The 20206-nt window shown below is 44.4% G+C and overlaps 1 protein-coding gene across 1 annotated transcript, besides 2 other annotated features; it reads right to left on the bottom strand.

The window, feature by feature from the left end:
• Positions 1 to 1191: 1191 nt before the first annotated feature.
• On the bottom strand, positions 1192 to 2926 carry CETN1 (centrin 1). The gene has a single exon (NM_004066.3). It carries the CDS (start codon positions 2895 to 2897, stop codon positions 2379 to 2381), a length of 519 nt encoding a protein of 172 aa, NP_004057.1. The 5' UTR covers positions 2898 to 2926; the 3' UTR covers positions 1192 to 2378.
• Positions 17453 to 17953: an enhancer, noted in NCBI's record as "H3K27ac hESC enhancer chr18:565353-565853 (GRCh37/hg19 assembly coordinates)". NCBI's record gives its function as "activates a minimal SCP1, AML or CMV promoter by ChIP-STARR-seq in primed H9 embryonic stem cells {active_cell/tissue: H9 hESC(primed)}" and the evidence as "EXISTENCE:reporter gene assay evidence [ECO:0000049][PMID:30033119]".
• Positions 17954 to 18454: an enhancer, noted in NCBI's record as "H3K27ac hESC enhancer chr18:564852-565352 (GRCh37/hg19 assembly coordinates)". NCBI's record gives its function as "activates a minimal SCP1, AML or CMV promoter by ChIP-STARR-seq in primed H9 embryonic stem cells {active_cell/tissue: H9 hESC(primed)}" and the evidence as "EXISTENCE:reporter gene assay evidence [ECO:0000049][PMID:30033119]".

Below are 20206 nucleotides of genomic sequence, written 5' to 3'. Positions count from 1 at the left end.
CTGCTGATTTTTGTAATTTGAGTAGAGACAGGGTTTTACTATGTTGCCCAGGCTGGTCTCCAACTCCTGACCTCAAGTGATCCACCAGCCTCGGCCTCCCAAAGTGCTGGGATTACAGGCGTGAGCCACCACACCTGGCCAGTTCTTCCCAATCTTCCCAATCTTCATAGCCGTGTTTCCTCATCTGCAAATAGGTGTCTGTAGATTTCCATTGAATTTTTTTGTGTTCTACTTTTGTAAAGACTAAGAGACATGGCTGACCCAGCCAATGTATGATTAACTTATCTTAAAATTCAAACGCCAGTTTAGACCTGTTCCACTAGACCCTCCTCCCCTTGTCCCCATATTCTCTAGAGTATTAGCCTATTGAGAAGCAGGAGAATGCACTATTGAGTGAATTGAGAGGTTCTTCCCTGGCAGTGAGTGGGATTCAGAAATATTCTGGGGCCCCCTTTCCTTTTTTGGAGCGGACCATGCCCTTAGGCCACCCCTTTAAGGCTATGCATGGTGTGTGGCCAGCCCAACCACTGGGCTTCAGCCTGGGTTCCTGGTTTTCTCTTCTATCATCTGCCGGGCCAGTAGCCAAGGCTGAGCCCAGTCCAGTTGGCTGAGACTCTGCTTCTCCTAGTTTCTGCCAACTTTCTTTGTTTCTGGTATTTCTACTTTAATTCATACGTTGATCCTTGGGCCAAGACTCTGGTCAACAGGATACCAGGAACTCTTGCTTCCCAGAATGCCCCCTCCTTCCCCTGCCCTCAGATCAGGCCCTTCATACTGATGTTGGCCCAAGTTGCACCTGTTCCCATCCTGACTGCACCTTAGTCCACACTAAGACCTTGAACCTGAACTGTTAGCATCTTGCAGCCTGGGTGAGTTCCCCTACCCTGTGCCAGGCACCTCAGCAAAATCCTCACAGTGAATGCTTCCATACCCATCACTTCAGCTAGTACTGCCGCTTTGACAAATTAGTCCCTGTTAATGAGAATTAAGCCCAGGGTAGTTTGTTCCCCTGATTAGATCCACACCCTCTGAAGGGTAAAATTGCTGGCAAAGCAAGTGAAATGTTCCCAGAATTTGAGCATTTATCTTAATGGGGCTTTGTATGAGGATTTAATTTAGGTTTAGTTGTGACCAAAATATCCTGCCTCTTTGTTTTGTTGCCTGTTATTAAAACATTAGTCAAAGCCTCCATCTCAGCAGATCTATTTGTTATTTTCCCACAATTACATTTTTAAAATTTTCTTTAACTTCAGATTTGTAGCTATGCAAAATGATGATATCTTACTCCAAAGCAAAAAATAATTTATAACAGAAAACAAGCAGTATTAACACATAAACAAGCCACAGTGGAGCAGTTTACTGGGATTTGTAAAATAGAGCACTACTGAAATGCCAGACACTCTGACATCAACTATATGTCAGAGGGGCTAAAAGTCAAGTACCAAGAACCAAGATGTTCTAAGGATTAGCAGGGAGAGTGTCTCATAATCAAGCAGTAATAAGATGACTAAGGTTATAATAGTCCAATAACTAAGATATTTGTTGCTATTTCCAAGGACTATAAGTAGCTTAAAATGTTATATTAAGGTATTTGTTATAATTTCCTAAACTAAGATCCTACATTTGTAAATATTTACTCAAAATCGTTTGTTAGCGTAACCTCTTAAGCAAATTATACTTTGCTTGGGCCAGTATTAGATTTTATTTTTATTCTGTAGCCCAGGTATACATACTAGCCCTAGATAAACCCATGGTGGACAATTTACACATGAACGAAGAATCATTTGCAGGTATAAAGCCAGTGAATAGTCAAAATTGCACAACGTACTACCACCCAAGCAAGTCTATTCTTTATAAGATTATCTGTCCTGAGCTCCGTAAGTTTGTAAGTGGCCACCCTGTTTTCCTTCAAACTGGTATTCAGCTAAGTGGACAGGCTAGGCAAATCTACTGGCAGATTCCATCTCATTATGCTGGAACAATGACTGGAATTTAAGGAATGATATATGAAGCAAGATAATTTAAGACCACCAAAGAAGTGACAAAGGGAACCACATTTTTGTGTGTCCCAGAAGCTGTCCTGCCTCCAGATCAACAGATGAACAGCAAGTTCAGCACAGGGCAAATGGAGGGCGCACTCAAACTTCAGGGCCCTTTGTTTAACCTCATGTGCTCCAGGTTGACTCTTGAGAATTAAAACCCAAAACTCACATTACAAGCATCTTTCAAATTCTATTATTGAACTAGAGATATGGAAATAGATCTAGACAAATTATGGGGGTGAGGGGGTGAAGAAGGGACAGGCAGCCGCTGTCCTCTAAGGTTTCACAAAATGGAAGCAGGCAACCCAGAGAGTCACTTTAGCTTCTGAACCGACTTCAGTAAAGGCTGGTCTTCTTCATGATCCGAAGGAACTCCTCCTCGTTCACTTCGCCGTCCCCATCCCGATCAGCTTCGTCGATCATCTCCTGCAGCTCCTCATCCGTGAGGTTCTCCCCCAGCTCGTTGGCCACACGCTTCAGGTTTTTGAACGAGATCTTCCCGGTCTCATCGTCATCAAAGAGCCTGAAGGCCTTCAGGATTTCTTCTTTGGTGTCCTTCTCGGACATCTTCTGCGTCATCACGGCCAGGAAGTCATTGAAGCTGATCTTCCCCGTGCCTTCCCTGTCCACCTCGGAGATCATTTTCTTCATCTCTTCCTTCCTGGGTTCGAAGCCCAGCGCTCTCATGGCCACCTTCAGCTCCTTCGCGTCGATGGTCCCACTTCCGTCCACGTCGAAGAGGTCAAATGCTTCCCGAACTTCTTGCTTCTGATCCTCAGTGAGCTCGGGCTTAGGTGCCACCTTTCTCTTTTGGCCGGTGGAGGCAGCGCTGGGCTTCTTGAAGCCGGAAGCCATCCTGCCGCTCTGGCCGCCGTGGTCCCAACGGCACCGCCCCGCGCTCTCATTCGGGCGCCCCCCGCCGGCGCGGCGCGGGACCACCCCTCGCTCACTGCCAACGCCCACGCCCGCTGGGGCCTGGAGCCGGCCCGGGGAACCTCTTCCTACGCCCTCCCATCTGCGGGATCTTGCTTAGGCGAGAATCCGCTGTCCCCTCGGGTCATTAACCGGTTTCCACGAGTTGACGCCTGAGCTGGCAAGAACAGCCTGTAGCCACAGTTGTCTTCTGTAATCCACTGGCGCTGGCAGTTCTTTCCAAGATATGTGCTAGCATCCATAAGACCCCAGTTTTATAGGTTTCTTTAGGGACTCTTCCTCTCTCTCTCTCTCTCTCTCCTCTCTCTCTTTTGACAGGAGTGCACTGGTGCCACTCAGCTTACTGCAGCCTCCACCTTCCAGGATCAAGTGATCCTCCCACCTCAGCCTCCATAGTAGCTGAGACTACAGGGCATGCCACCACACCCAGCTAAATTAAAAAAAAAAATTTTTTTTTTTATAGAGACAGAGTCTCACCATGTTGCCCAGGCTGGTCTGAAACTCCTGGGATCAAGGGATTTCCCGCCCCAGCCTCCCAAAGTGCTAGAATTACAGGCATGAGCTACCAAGCCGGGCCTCTCCTTTTTATACCATTTAAAAAACCCTCTTGTTCTAGCGGCAACACCCAATGAGGTGACAGGTCCTAAGGGTAAATTTAGGATAATCAAGATTGAGTGTGATCACTTGACATTCAATGTGGGGAAGGAGAAGGAAGAGAGAATATTAAAAGTCATACCATGTGTTCAACTTGACATAAATGGGAAACAGAGAAAATGGAAAAATTTATGTATAAAATGCGTAGAAGTTTGTCTCCTGACATTACACTCAACAATAATACAATGTTTCTGGCATGTTCTCAAATATGAAATGTAATATCCAAATGTATGATTTACTTTCAGTGTTTCCATTTTACATACTCAGTATAATTGCACTTGAATAATGGTCATAATTTCATTCATGAGGCTTTTGATTTGGAGGGAGGGAAGTGGAAATACTACATTCTGGTATATTCTAGTATTTTCTTTTCTCTAACCTCCTAGCAGCACATTACTCTCCTTGCTTATCATCCAATCAGAGCTGTGCTGAAACCCACGCTCTGGTCGCCTTCCTTTGGCAATGGGCACAGGAGATGATGCAGGACATGTTGGGACTCAAAATTGCCTCCTGGGAATAAAGCGGTTCTCCTACAAACCAAAGAGCAAGAGGAAAATGGAAAAGAAAAAAAAAATTACCAAATAAGCCCACCAAGGAATTGCCTGTAGAATTACTTTGCATTCTTTTAAATAGTTACAGAAAAGAAAGCTGACTTATTTTTTTAGCATTCTCCCCCTGCCCCGCCCCCCCGCAATCAAATCTCAATCTATTAATATATCAATACCTTTTGTAACCTATGAAGGTTACAAAAGATGTCACTTTGAAGAGTTTGTGTTAAAGAGTTTTATGGCTGGGTGCAGTGGGTCACACCTGTAATCCCAGTAATTTGGGAGGCCAAGGCGGGAGGATCACCTGAGGTCAGGAGTTCAAGACCAGCCTGGCCAACAAGGTGAAACCCTGTCTCTATGAAAAATACGAAAATTAGCTGAGAGTTGCTGCGCACAACTGTAATCCCAGCTACTTGGGAGTATGAGGCACGGGAATCGCTTGAACCCAGGAGGCGGAGGTTGCAGTGAGCAGATATTGTGCCCCTGCACTCCACCCTAGGCAACAGAGTGAGATTCTGTCCCCAAAAAAACAAACAACAACAAAACAAAACAGTGCTGGATACAACACAGTAGGTAGGTTAATAAATATTCGTTGAATGAATGCATGACAATTAAGGTTGGTCCTAAAATACCTTCTGAATACAACAAGTGAAAACCCCAAAAGATTAAATGATGCCAGGAATGTTTTACAAACTGTTTTTTAAAATTAGTGGTCAGATATTGTTTACATGGCACATTTAATTAGCCATATATCACTACCTGCCCCAGTTCGATATGTGACTTAGTTGACAGAGAGCCTGGACACAGGGTTTCTTCTAAAGGCCAAGGAAACTTACATAGGACCTCCCCTCTCCTGCCTTCCAGTACTTGTTGTGGACAGTGTCAACTCAAGGCACACTGGCAGGCAGACACTACAGCTGCTGTTCTTCTAACACCGCAAATCCTTGTGACCTGCTTTTTTCCATGTCAGAAGCCTGGGATCTTATCCCAAGTCTATGCCTTATTATCTCTGTGACTTTGGAAAGTCACTTAAACCACCCAGAGTCATCGAAACACCTGCAAAGTAGGCATCATCATAAAGCTTCCCACTGCATTTTCAGTGGGAGAATGTACACAAAAGCTCCAGGAACAGTGCCCTAGTGGGGCCATACAGATCTGGGTAATTGTTAGTTGAATAAGAATTTTTCTCAGACATTGTACATTTCCTTTGGCACCCACCCTTCTGCCCAAATTCAAGCCAAGCTATGATGTGTTGGGAAAAACTGAAGTATGGAAGCTGCCTTATATAGAGCTACATTTGGGCCAAGCTGAACTAAAAGCAAAACGGTTGTCATGGTTTCCAGATGTGTGCAATCAACAGTTACAACAAAGGGCCACCAAGAGCTCCCTTCATAGAAACAGTGCCCATAGTCACAGTCAGCTCTTGGTGGGGAGTTACATTATGTTCAGAGTCCAAACTCTGACTTAAGAAGGGAAGGGAAACACATTTAATGTGTGCCTAGCTTTGGGCGTGCTTCTCATAGTTGTCATCTTATTTGATCCTTGCCATCATTTCCTATTTTGCAGATGAAAAAAATGAGGCCCAGGAGAGGCCTGTAACACATATTTAATGGTACATGGCCAATAAATGGTGGCTCTGGGATTTAAATCCTGGCCTGCTGAAGCTTTGTTCACTACATCATGCTGCCTTCTCCACAAGTTGATTCTATATTACCAAAATATAGAATCACTGGGAAGACATGATACAGATTTTGTTACAGTAGGTAGCTAGTCAGGCATGAGCGGGGCAGAGAAGGGCTCCCCTCCCAACCCGCCAGGAATGTCAGGTGATGATCAGGGGATGGTTTGGCAGTTGTCACACTGCCTCTCTAAAATGATCATTGATCATGGCCACAACAGGGAGAGGCAGTTTCCCAACAGATGAATACACTTGAAATTGGTAGTCGGCAGCTTCCAATAAGATCTCAGGAATTGGGCCAGTGGGCTTGAGCATGCGCATTAAGAGACAAAATGGCAGCGTATGACCTTCTAGGGGCGTTCCACTGGAAAAGGGGAAGAAAGCCTCAGGTGATCACGCATACAACTTCTTAAACACACTGCCCATGCTCACCTCCCAATCCCAAGCAGGGCACTATGCATGTGGGCGGTTCACCTTAAGAGAAGAATAAGGGAAAGGGGCACAAGATGCGGGAAGTAGGCCAGCGTATAAAATCCTAGGTTCAAGATCAAACGGGGCACTTGACCTCCAGGGCGTCCATTGGCTCTCTTCCAGGTGTACTTGTGAAGTGGCCTTGTTGCCTGGGGTGACACCCAAGGTTCTCGGTCTCACGGCCACGGAGGTAAAGGATGTGGAAACACACAAAGGGTGAGGTTTCGAGCAGAATTTTAATAGGTGAAAGAAGGAGAATAGCTCTCTGCCCCAGAGAAGGGTCCCGAGAAAAGGAGTTGCCGATCCGTGGTTAAATGCAGGGGGTTTTATAGATGAGCTAGTGGGGAGGCGGTGTCTGACCTACAAAGGGCATGAAAAACTGGTTAGGACCGGGTGTGCCATCTGCATAGGGCACGAATCTCTGGCAGCCCCCACCCCAGTCTTTTATTATGCCCGTGGCTAGATACTCCATGTTACTTCTTCCTTCCTTCCTTCCTTCCTTCCTTCCTTCCTTCCTTCCTTCCTTCCTTCCTCTCTCTCTCTCTCTTTCTTTCTTTTTTTGAGTAGGAGTCTCACTCTGTCACCCAGGCTGGAGTGCAGTGGTGAGATCTGGGCTCACTGCAACCTCCGCCTCCCAGGTTCAAGCGATTCTCCTGCTTCAGCCTCCTAAGTAGCTGGGATTACAGGTGTGCGTCACCACGCCCGGCTAATTTTTGTATTTTTAGTGGAGACGGGGTTTCACCATGTTGGTCAGGCTGGTCTCAAACTCCTGACCTTGTGATCCGCCTGCCTCGGCCTCCCAGAGTGCTGGGATTACAGGCGTGAGCCACCGGGCCCGGCCGCTTATTTCCTTCTTACTGTGCATGTGCTAAAAATAGAGGGGAGGTGGAGCCCCCAGGGTGGACATTCCTGGCCCCAGGTACCTCTTTCTAACTGTGCAGCTTCTGGCATCCCCTCGTGCAAGTTTCCAGCTTCCTTATCTATGTTTGCAGCCCGATCTCCCAGGCTGCTCTTTGTTAGAAAAGAAGGGATTTCTTGGGCTGTTCTTTGTTAGCAGGGAAGTTCTGCCGAGGACTCTTTTGCCCTCATTATCTGCTTAAAATAATTTCTGTCTCCAGTATCACTTGCCTTATGTTCCTGCTCTAAAGCGTTTTAATAAACGCTCTGAAACTTGCCTCAGTCTCTTTTTCTGCCGTATGACCCTGAGTTGAATTCTTTCTTCTGAGGATGTAGGAATTGAGGTTGCTGCAGACCCATACGGATTCTATTAAGGTAACTTGGATATTCGCTACTAGTGATACATTTTGGTGCCACGTGACTCGGATACCTTCTGCTGCTAACAATTTTCTTCCCTACACATAACAATAATTAAGCATCTTGCCTAGAAGGATTGAACAGGAATTTGTAGGATCTAAGACAGGGTCCCATTCTGGGGCGAGTCACTGAACCTGCAATATGCTTAGTATTTACATCTGTTCTTCCTCCATTCCACTTCACCCCATTCCCTGCTTTCAACTCTGTATATGAGCTGGGGAAAGCAATCTGGGCAAAATGCCTTTGCTTGGCATTAGTGAAAGTCTATACAAGGCATGTGAAAATCAGCTTTATTACTTTAAAAGTAATTTTTAAGTTCTAGTGAGACTGACATAAAATAAACGAGACATCCTAGAAAATCAGTGGAGATGGGCGGGTTTCTGTTTGTTTTTGGGTTTTTGGGGGGCCCTCAATTTTTTTTTTTTTTTGTACCACAATGTCCTAAGTATTATGCAAAATCAGTGATTGATTCTCTGAGAGGGGGAGAGGAGATGGTTGTTTAAGTCCAGTCATGGAGACTTAACAGCTGGAAGAGGGGAGAAAAGAAGCACTGGAATTCCACAACAGGGTCTGGAGTCCGTTGAGACCAAGAGAAAGGACTCACAGCTTGCTTATGCTGATTATTTGGTTTTCCATTTGACTTGCATGGCATGAAAAAGGTGCGGCTCAGGAGCCTTTTAAAGTTGCACTCAGCAAATTCAGCAAATTCCAGGTGCCACCCAAGGCAGAAAACATGCACAATACAGCTTCTTTACTGCTGCTTATTTACTTTCCAACAAATGCAGAACAGAGAAAATGTGAATGCTGGGTGCTGCTCCTACAAACCAGGATAACTGTGCTGGGGCTGTAGAGGGGGATCCCAAAACCATCACTAACAGAGCTGAATTATTTATTCTTAAATATGTGGAGCCAGTTACAAGAAATGGACTCAGCAGCAAAAGGTTTTACAGTCCCAGTGGTCTCTGAATGGGAATTTGAAGTCAAGTCCAGTGACTCAACCCAAGTCTTTTTGGCAAGTCCAGGAACACATTTAAGTGTCCAGCCAAGGGCTACATGATTCCTTATTCCATGAACACCCGAAATAAGAAAATACTCCTCTCAGATACAAAAGCAGACTTTTCTAAAAAGATTTGCCAGAATTTCACACGGTTTCTCAAACTTTCACCCAAATATTCCTAATAGCAAAGGAGAGTTGAAAGCTATCCCCTGAGATACAGGGAACTATTTGAAAGAAACCTGCAAAAAGCATCAAATGTCTTTATAATCCTGTGTTTCAGCTTTTTAAAAAGTGAATGTTGCTTTCTGTTTCATAGTGCATTTGCTGGTTCTATGATAGTTTTAAATGACTGACCATTCCAAAAAAGTACACATTGCTTATTTTATGACTTTAAATGGTCTCCAAGGACATGACCGGGGTTGCAGAACCTTATATGTTTTAGCAAACACGGATGTGGGATTTAATGTGGGGCTTGAGGTGAATAAAATAAAGATCTACAATGTTTCTCACCCCTACCCAACCCCTATCTGCTCCACTTATACCCCATTTGGGTTTGGGAGTCAAAGAAGGGAAAGGATGGAAAAGTGTGAGGAGGAAGGGAAGGAAGAATGAAACTCCAGGGCATTTTGAACTTGTTAGGTGGAGTAAAATTAAATGCATCCAGTGAAAGAATGACTGCCCTCTCCCCTTCTTTCCCAGATCCCAGATCAGCCCCCAATTAAGCATTGCTTTGATGGAAACAGGCTGAGAAAAGACAAGATCTATGTTGACATAAACTCCAAGCAGAACCTCATGGGGTTTGCAATTCGGCAGTTGTCCCACCCTGTAAGTGGTCTTCAGAGCGCCCACCAGGTGCAGGCATCCACAGAAAATGCAGAACCAGGAGGCCCAGGAGTGGCTTCATTGGATTTTTAAATCTCATTTTAAACCAATAGCTCATAGACTGAGCTATTGGTTACTCTTTGATCCACCTTTTCTTCTCCAAGGGCCCTGGAACGTCAGGATCTAAAGCTGGCTCTGAGGCTGTTAACTGAGAATTTTTCACTCACCAGAGGTTGAAAGGTCAGAAGCCCACAGTGGTGTTAGGTAACACAGAATAAGCCAAATGGGCTGCCTGTGAAGGGTGGATTTAGGGATTAACAGTGACCTGGAGAGTTTGTGCCCTTTTTAAAGACACTGACATTCAAATTTTAAAAAAAAGAAAGAAAGAAAGGAAAAAAAGAAAACTGTGCAGTTCCAAGAACACAGGTGAAGCAGAACTTGGCCTATAGGGTGCACATTATCCACCCAGCCCTTGCAGTGGCCACCTCTTCTGCTGAGGTTCAAGCAGTAAGGACACTTCTCAGAGAAAAGGACAGAGACAGAGGGAAGATGGATTTCTAGCCTAAAGCCCATCTGTGCCTAGTTACTTTAGCATAACTATCTTTACTAAAGGTTAGGTCACACCACAGGACCAGCCCACAGGGGAAAGTCAACTAATGAAGATGTGCAATTAACCTGTTTGATTTTTCTCCCCAAACCAGCTTGGAAGGAGAGAAGCCCACTCTGCCTGCCATGTCCTTATGTCCTTTCCACTGGGACCTCTTTGGGCCTAGCAGGCCTCTAGAATTGGCAGCAAGGCTGATCTAGGTCCAGTCTTAGAGGCCATCCATGAGGTTCAGTACATGGCACAGTGAGGGAACAGAACAGCTGGGGGCTAGGACTCTCTTCCATGCACTCCACAACAGTCTTGTTTCCAGAAGTCTGCTCCCAGCTCAGAGGGAATTGGAGAAGCCAAATGAAAGTGATGAGATGGGGGAGGAAACTTACACCTCTTGTGAAGAAAAGACTTGCATTTTTAAAAATTCGGAGAAGTGGATTTTAGATTAAAATCAGTTCTCTGACTGAAATATATGTTTAAAAACAAGTTCCTGAACTAAATTAGAGTTCTACTGCATTTCAAAGTCCAGCAGTTGTGTCAGCAAACAAAACATCAAAGGAAAGCAATAGGTCATTTCAGTCTCCTCTGAAGCAGCAACTAGAAATCCCTTTCTCAACAAGTAATCATATTACAGCCCCCTCCTGCTAAGCTCTAAGTAGGAAAGGGGGTGCAATTAGGCAGGAGGATGATGTCTCCCTCATCCTTTTGAGTTGGCAACTGACCACGCCCAGGGAGGTTTTTCATTTAGATGCTTCTTAAACATCTTTTGAAGCTCAGTGGGTTCACCACCCGAACGGAGGCCCTCTTAGTTTTCTTCATGTTCTGCATTTGCTCCTTTGCATCTACAAAGTCCTTCCCAAATTCCTTTGGTTTCTGGATCATTCTTATCTGAAATCCATGTTCTTTTACTTTGTTTCACGTGGCGCTGGTCAGGGCTTCCTTTGCCTTGAATGCCGCACAGGGGACTAAGCTTAGAATGGAAACTGGGTTATTTAGTTGTACTAATGTTTTCAATTACACCTCACGCAAAGTGTTTGCCTGCCAGGGTGATCTCAGACCCCATTGCATTACTATCGAGTCCATAGTTAATCTTAAAGCTCCCACAGCCTCTAAGAACAGATTTCATACAGGCACACTGAAAAAGAATATTTTACAGATAACATATGAGAATAAGGCAAGGGGGGAAAGAGGAGGCAAACTCACTCTCAAATGTAAACTCATGCATGAAACTCATCTACCGAGCTGGACTAAAAAGGGGGGATACATATCTCACAACAGAAGTGTCTTCGTGAACCCAAAATCATGAGTATGTAGTGAATCCGAAGAAAGTGGTAGACGTTCTTAGCCTCTCTTTCTGCTTTAAAACTGTGAGCATCTTTTAAAAATATTTATTTATATACTTTTAGAGACAGGGTCTCACTCTGTCACCCAGGCTAGAGTTCGGTGACACAGTCAGGGCTCACTGCAGCCTTGACTATCTGGACTCAAACGATCCTCCCGCTTCAGCCTCCTGAGTAGCTGGGACTATAGGCACATGCCATCATGCCCAGCTAATCATTTTTACTTTTATTTTTATTTTGAGACAGAGTTTTGCTCTTGTCACCCAGGCTGGAGTGCAATGGCGTGATCATGGGTCACTGCAACCTCCGTCTCCCGGGTTCAAGCGATTCTCCTGCCTCAGCCTGCCAAGTAGCTGGGATTACAGGCGCCTACCACCATGCCCGGCTAATTTTTGTATTTTTAATAGAGATGGGATTTCACCATGTTCGTCAGGCTGGTCTTGAACTCCCGACCTCAACCAGTTTGCCCACCTCAACCTCCCAAAGTGCTGGGATTACAGGCATGGGCCACCTCACCCGGCCTCAGCTAGTTATTTTTTAAAAATATTTATAGAGATGAGGTTTTGCTCTGTTGCCCAGGCTGGTCTCAAACTCCTGGCCTCCAGTGATCCTCTCATCTCAGCCTCCCAAAGTGCTGAGATTTCAGGCCTGAGCCACCGTACCTGGCTTAGAACTGTAAACATCTTAATTTCCCAACACAGTCAAATTTTAGAGACTAAAACATAAGCTATATATTTTATGCTCAGGTACTATTTAAGATAAAGAGTTACCTTAGAATTCCTGATTCATTAAGGGTGAATTATAATACACAAAAATAAAGAAGTTTAAATGTAGCGTGAGGGCACTCCAGGAATTTATCAGACTAGGATTAATGTCTAGATACATGGGATAAAATTAAGAATGTGTTCAGAAATTGTATCCCTGGTCTTAGGGAAAAGCAGCTCCCAGAGAGATGTCTGTCCTCTGATTCTCATCATTCCACTTCTACCAGAGCCTGTTAATACTCCAGTGAGGAGAAGGCAGGAATGTTGCAGCTACAGAGTCCATTTGAATCTGAGACGGGTTGTCCACATTATGTAGGTGGTATGTAAATACGTAGGTGGTGGCCATATGATCACGTGTACAGGGCAGACGAGTGGTGGGGGGCTTGAGTGTGGGCCCATAAGCCCTTTGTGGCTGCCTTTGAACACCAGCCTCCTCCTTCTGCTAGTTACTTGGCCACGGGCAAGCTGAACTTCAAATTCCTATACAACAAACAGAAGAATAATTAGCTCGTAGGGTTGTAGTGGTGATTAAAGGAGATTATCCATGTAAAGTGCTTTAATACTGTGCATGGCCCACAGTAAGTAAATGTAGTACTTTATGGTTTATAAAGCACTTCTATATACACATACACTCATTTAACATCTCCAAAAGCCTGTGAGGTAGGTTGTGTTATTCCCGTTTTATCAAGGAAGCACCTGAGGTCAGACAGTCTCAGCTGTTTCCTATTCACACAGAGAACAACACTGGTCTTCTGATCTTTTTATTTATTTTTGAGACAGAATCTTCCTCTGTTGCCCAGGCTGGAGTGCAGTGGCACAATCATGGCTCACTGCAGCCTCGATCTCCTGGGCTCAAGTGATCCTCCCACCTAAGCCTCCCAAGTAGCTGGGACTATAGGTATGAGCTACCACACTCAGCTGACTTTTTTATTTTTTGTAGAGATGGGGGTCTCACTATGTTGTCCAAGCTGGTCTCAAGTCTTGGGCTCAGTGATCCTCCTGCCTCAGCCTTCCAAAGTGCTGGGATTACAGGGTGAGCCACCATGCATGGCCAAGTCTTCTGATCTTGACGTCGTCCTCTTCCTTTAAGGCCCTCCCTTTAAGCACCAGGCAAGCAAACTATTTATTTTAGGTGTTCTAGCGTCCCAGAGAGTATCAAAGCTAAAACTTTCTTCAGTCAGATTTAGCATAATGAGTAAAGCAGGGACTTTTGAGTCAAACATGCCTGGGTTCAAATGCTAGCTCTGCATGTCTGCCAGTTTTGAGTTGGGCCACTTTGGTCAAGTTATCCCCCACTCCCTGTACCTACTTCCTCCTTCATAATGTGGCACAGATTTTTCTTCAAGTCAGTACATGCACGTTGAAGGAAAGCAGTTAACACAGTCCCTTTATATACCCTATTCAAGGCTCTGTCAAATTTAGTCACTTACTAGCTAAAAGTTTAATTATTCAGTGAGGGGTATATTTAGTGTTCTAAAGCTATATCAATTCTCCTTAATAACTGGTATGATACAATGACATAAAATAATCATATTTGTAAAAAAATTATCATCATTACGTTGCTTCAGCTTAAAATACAGTGTGCCAAGGCAAGAACGTGTATATTTTATTTTATTTATTTATTCCTTTGTTTTTTGCGGACGGAGTTTCACTCTTGTTGCCCAAGCTGGAGTGCAATGGCACGATCTCAGCTCACTGCAACCTCCACCTCCCAGGTTCAAGCAATTCTCCTGCTTCAGCCTCCTGAGTAGCTGGGATTACAGGTGCCCACCACTACGCCTGGCTAATTTTTGTATTTTTAGTAGAGACGGGGTTTCACCATGTTGACCAGGCTGGTCTCGAACTCCTGACCTCAAGTGATCCTCCCACCTTGGTCTCCCAAAGTGCTGGGATTACAGGCATGAGAAACCGTGCCTGGCCTAAGAATGTGTGTATTTCACAAAGTATTTGGAGGGGTTGTGTTTGGATGGCAACACCATCCAGTGAATTCAATAATTCAGTGCCAATCACAGACTGAGCCAAATAGAGGTGAAATTTTCAATGTGCTCATCATGTGGACCATGGCTTTGCTGCTTAGTAACACCTAAAATTTTTATTCACTGGTCTAAACAAGTCTCTCCAGTTTGATGTTTGCAGCTCATGATTATCAGATGTACTTTTTATTAGTTTACACAATAAGGGTTGCTTAAATGAAATAGATTTATTTCTCTCTTGTACAGCTCAAGTTCACATGGCTGCTCAGATATTTCCAGGATGCCAAGATTCTTCAGTATTATTGCCCCAGGCCTCCCAGATGGTTTGCCCTTGTCTACGTGGTCTAAGCCGGCTTACTACCACAGGCATCTTACCCAGCAGGAAGGGAAACTTCTTAAAGATGGCTTCAAATCCTGTCAGCCCCACCTAACTACTCGTGTGATGATCAGATCTGTGCAGACTTTGCCAGTTTGCACAATTGCAACCTGTTAGTACCTCACCTTGGCCCATGCCCCAAGCCTCTCAATTTCTGTTCTGGGGCATCTCAGGCATCATAGCAGTGTAGATTTAACACCTTGATCAATGACAGTCTAGTATCAGTGGATATTTCCCCCTTGTGTCTTCCCATCAGAAGGTCCTGTGGGATTGAGCACCAGTCACCCATAAGAGTGGCCAACTTAGTACCTCTTTCTTGCATTGACCTGGCCTCTTTCTTGCCACCCTCTCTATCCCTCACCCTTGCTCCCTGAGATCGTTTCCAAAATAAACCTGCAGTTGAGTTTTAGCTTTAGATTCTACTCTCAGGGGGACCTTGGCCAAGACAGGGGAATGCACAAGACTTTTATGTACCAAAAGTTGTCTTCATCCTTTCTGCTCACATTCCACTGGACACATGAAGCTGCAATGGGGGCTGAGCAGCGGATTTTTTATTCTGGAAACACTTGCTCTCAGTTAAAAAGTTCATTACTATGGATGAAGTCTCTGTGCATGCTTCATAAAATTTGAATTTGCACAACTAAATACATCATGGATAGGCTAGAGGTTATGACCACTGAACTAAGAGACCAGAGTTTTCATCCACACACTTCCACCCATTTTCCAGGTGAACTTAGGCAAGTTGCTAAGTCTTCGGGGCTTGAACTTCCTCATTTGTAATTGGTGATAATCATAACTTCTTTCTCTGAGTGACTGTGAGAAAAATTAGATTGCAGATGGGAAAGTGCTTTAAAACTTTTAAAATATGATGTTTTAGGTTGGTGCAAACGTAATTGCGGTTTTTTTTTTTTTTGCCGTTACTTTTAATTATTTTTGCACCAACCTAATAAATATAGGTTAGATCTAGTTACCGCCTGTATGAAAACAAGAAACCAGTTGTAGAACATTCGATTCCAGTTACTATATTACTGGTTACACCTACAGAGCACCATCCAGTTTATCCATAGGTGGATGAAACTGCCCAACTCGCCATCCCGAGAAACAACAATCAGCACCAGGTAAGCATTTTCCAACTTAAAAGGCTTTCATTGCATGGGTCTCTTGCACATCATCTCTCAACATTTCATCATTTCGTTACTATTTCCTTGTTTTCCAAAATGTTCTCCACCTCTGGAATTTATCCTTTTAAAAATAATCATAAAGAGAAGAAAGGGAGAAAAAAGTTACCCGTGGTACTCATTATATGAGCCCAAGGGACGAAACAGCATTCTCTCTCCCCATTAATAACCTAAACTTTCAAACATGTAGCCATGGTTAAGGATTCCTTCTGGACTATTTTAAGGAGCAAATTTATTAGTTCTATAGCATCTCATAATCCTGAGGTATTTAGGAAAACTACATTCTTTGGATTCTGAAACCCTGGCTGTTTCCCCAAGCTACTTCAAACAATGCAGCCTTTGCTGACGGGGCACTCCATGGGCCAGCAGTGTTGTTGAATTCTAAGTAAATAATCTTGAAACAAATCCATGGTTGACACACTGTCATATTATGTTTACTGCTCCAGAGGAGGGATTTATTCTGAGGATATTGAAAAACTCCATTGCTGTTTGGGGGAAGTGACAATTGGGATCACCCATAAATTAGGGTAATTGCCCTCTGTTCTGTACCGTAGATATGATCCAAAACATTGCACATGTACTATATCATATGTGAAATAGAACAGTGCTGGATAAAAATATACAATATTACTAAATAAAAACAGATGCCATGGATATGACAGATATTTAAATCGCCAAGTTTGGCTACAGCTAGCTTTGTTCTTCTTCTTGGATTAATAAGCATGGGAGCTCTAAACTGGAGGAGAAAAATGAACCAGTCCAACCACATCTTCCTTTTTAGCATAGGTTTCTTGATGTAGTTTTATAAATGATTAATATTTAATTTTATTTTTTGAGACACAGTCTCGCTGTCTTACACAGGCTGGAATGCAGTGGCACAATCTCGGCTCACTGCAACCCCTGCCTCCCAGGTTCAAGCGGTTCTCTTGCCTCAGCCTCTTGAGTAGCTAGGATTACAGGTGTGCGCCACCACGCCTGGCTAATTTTTTGTATTTTTCATAGAGACGGGGTTTCACCATGTTGGCCAGTCTGGTCTTGAACTCCTGACCTCAAGTAATCTGCCTGCCTCAGCCTCCCAAAGTGATGGGATTACAGGCATGAGCCACCGTGCCCAACTTAATGTTTAATGAGCCAGATCTCTCTTTCCCTGTAAGAAGGGGACTGGTATTACAGCTTTCTAAAACTCAGTACCTTCTCTCTCCTCTCCTTTTCGCTCCACCCTGGCTCACTCAGGGGTTGGTGTGACTTTGCCTCTGGTGGAGGTTGGTGAAAGCGGTCATTTAATATGAAGAGGGACCCATATACAGGGGAGGAAGGCATCAACTGCAGTCCTTTATTTCAGCAAAACTTGTCTAGGCTAATTTCATCTAAATCAGAGCAACACATAATTATGGAAAATTGAAAAGAACAAAACCAGGATTAAACTACAACATCCCCTTGCAAACATAATCGCCTTCCTCTGATACTTTCTACAGTCGTCGAAATAGCAAACATGTGCTTTTTGAGACCATTTTTCTATGTATAATGCTGGTCACAGAGATAGGAGAGAGAGAAAAAAAGAGTTCCTCCACAATTGTGATTGGAAGAGAACAATTTCCTTCATTTTCTGGCTCCAGTGAGTACCTCCTAACAGAGCTGAAAACTCATCTTCGGGTTCCTCTAGAAGAGGCTCCAGTGTTTAGCAGAGAAACAGTTCAGCAGGGTGGAAAGAGCCGGCCGTGTTGCAGGTACTTACAGGCCCCAGGACGATGCTGTGTAGCAGGGGACGAACAGCTCTGCTTGGCTTGCGGAGTCAGGGAGAAGCCTCCCTGGAGGAGGAGGACACTTGAGCCCATTCTGGCAAAATGACTATGAACTTGCCAAGAGAACAAGGAGTAGGGAGGAGCAGAAGGCTTTTAGGCAGAGGGAAGAACACATACAAAGGAGTAGAAGCCAGAATGGGAGCACGTTCAGAACTGCAGGGGTCTACTTGGCTAAGCATAGGAGGTGAGCCTGTGAACTTAGGGGGTGGAAGTTGGGGGTGGCCTGAGCCCTGTGAAGGGCTGCTGGGTACTCAGGTATGGTGGGCACTGGGTTGGCAGCTGCAAGCCATGGAAGTCCAGAGTCAGAGTCTTCAGAGGGCAGTCAGAGTCTCAGTCTTGGAGTTGGTCTTAGAAGGGGAGAGTCTGGTGATGGGGCTTCCTCTGTCATAGACCACGCAAGTTGGGTGGCTGATAGCCAATGTGGCACTACAGGATGGCCACAGTGTCCTGTTTGTGGGCTTCCTCTGGCCAGCCCAAGGGCTCAGGGCCACAGCACAGCCCTGAAGCTTCTCAGCAGCAGCAGCAGCAGCAGTGGGATGGACTCGTGCACAGCTCTAGAGCCATCCATGGCTGGCCTTCCAGATCCCACCTCCTCCCCCACCTCCCCTGCCAGCCTGGCTGGGTCTTTCGCGTTCTCATGCTTGCACATTTTATGTGTTCTGGCCAACTAGACTCTTCCCTGCATGTAAAAAGCTGGCGAGTTCCCCTTCATTTTGTTCCCCTTTCTTTTTTAATCTACTCTGTTTTATGCTTTATAGCAGGGAATGCTTAGCATTCAGATAACCTATAAATATCCTCACTTGTTCCAGTTATCTTCTGGTGAGCGTTCTCTACCCTTGTCCCCTCTTACCCCTCCTCCTCACACGTACACAACAGTAGGGAGAAGAGTACAAATGAACCCAGCTTCAGCAGTGACCAACTCACGGTCAATACGGTTGCATCATTATCTACCCCCGTCAGATTATTTGGAAGCAATTCCCAGACATTTCGTCTCCAAGTATTTCAGTGTATGGGAACAAGAAAGGATTGAGTCACATGCCAATTTGAAGTCCTTCCCACAGTCATACATGAAAGTATCATTTTTTTGTTCATGTCATCAAGGTGTTTTGTTCTCAGCAATTTATTGAAAGATCCTTTGCCACTTTAAAAATACATTCTAGGCCAGACACAGTGGCTCACACCTGTAATCCCAGCACTTTGGGAGGCCGAGGTGGGTGGATCACTTGAGATCAGGAGTTCGAGACCAGCCTGGCCAACATCTCTACTAAAAACTCCACCTCTACTAGAAATGCAAAAATTAGCTGATGTGGTGGTGCATGCCAGTAATCTCAGCTACTTGGAAGGCTGAGGCAGGAGAATCACTTGAACCCAGGAGGCAGAGGCTGCAGTGAGCCAAGATCGTGCCACTATACTCCAGCCTGGGCAAGAGTTTTTTTTTTTAAAAAAATGCATTCTACATGCAAAATGTGTATATAGCCAATACTATCAGAACTAAAAATATTTGAATAATATTTGAACAAACACCTGTATAACTATGATTGAGCTCAAAGGAGAGAGAGTGAGAGAGAATATTACCAGTATCTTTGAAGTCCATGTTTGCTTCCTCCCTCTCCCCACTCCAGTTATCCTCTATCCTGAAATTTGGGCTAAGCATTTCCCCCATACATATGTGAGTGTGTGCATGTGTGTGCATGTGTGCGCACACGCGCACGCACGGATTTATAAGTTTGGCCCTCTAAACAATATATTGCTTAGTTTTCCTGTTTGTGAGCTTTGTGTATAAATAGAATTACACTGAAATTGCCTTCTGTGACACTTTTGCATTTCAACATCATGTTTTCAAGCTTCATCCACATTGAGGCACATCTAGCTGTGGATTAGAGTATTGCATGATATGAATCCACTACTGCTTATTTCTCCATTCAATCGTTGATTGGCATTTAGTTTGTTTTTAGTATTTCCCCCCAACCTCCCAAATCCTCCTAAGAATATTATTTTACTTGTCTTCAGGACATACGCACAAGAATTTTCCCAAGGGTGGAACTGCTGTGTATATACACTTATCTTTACTAGGCGATGCGAAATTGTTTTCTCAAGTAATGTGTAATTTTACATCTCATTAGCTCTATATAACAGTTCCCACCATCACTGGTCTTGTCTGACTTTTAAATTTTCACTCTTTGGTAGATTTAATCTATTTTTCTTGAATGATGAGAGTAAACATCTTTCCATATGTTTACAGGCCATTCATGTTTCTCTTCTATGGATGTCTGTGTTTTTGCATTTTTCTATTTTTGTCTTTTTCTTGATGATTCATGGGAATCCTTTACATATTTTGGATATTAAAACCTTATCAGTGCATAGAATGTTGGCAGAAAAGGCTGCCAAGAATTCCTCTCATCCCTGCAGGTGCACGCCACCTGCCACCTTTCATCGTGAGGTGGGGTTATCGCACCTCCTCTTGGATTGGAGGTGGCCCTGTGCGTTGCTTTGATCAATAGAATATGGCAGAGATGCTGCATTATCTCCAGGCCAAAGCCTTAGAGGCCTTATGGTTTCCATTTCACCATCTTGGAAGTTAGCGGCTGTGCGAAAAGCTCCAGCTATCCTGATGGAGAGAGAGGCCACGCAGAGAGACTTTCCACAGGATGAGACATGGTATACAGAGAAAGAGAGGCCCAGGCAGCCCCTACTCATTCCAACCGCCTCAGCTGAT

This window comes from Homo sapiens, chromosome 18, assembly GCF_000001405.40.
Source record: "Homo sapiens chromosome 18, GRCh38.p14 Primary Assembly".
Lineage (NCBI taxonomy): Eukaryota > Metazoa > Chordata > Mammalia > Primates > Hominidae > Homo > Homo sapiens.
The sequence above is the reverse complement of the archived record's forward strand: the minus strand, read 5'-3'. Positions and strand labels throughout refer to the sequence as shown.

Excerpts from the sequence above, each read along its gene's own strand:
- CETN1 (NM_004066.3), bottom strand. The coding sequence starts at position 2,897 with ATGGCTTCCGGCTTCAAGAAGCCCAGCGCTGCCTCCACCGGCCAAAAG.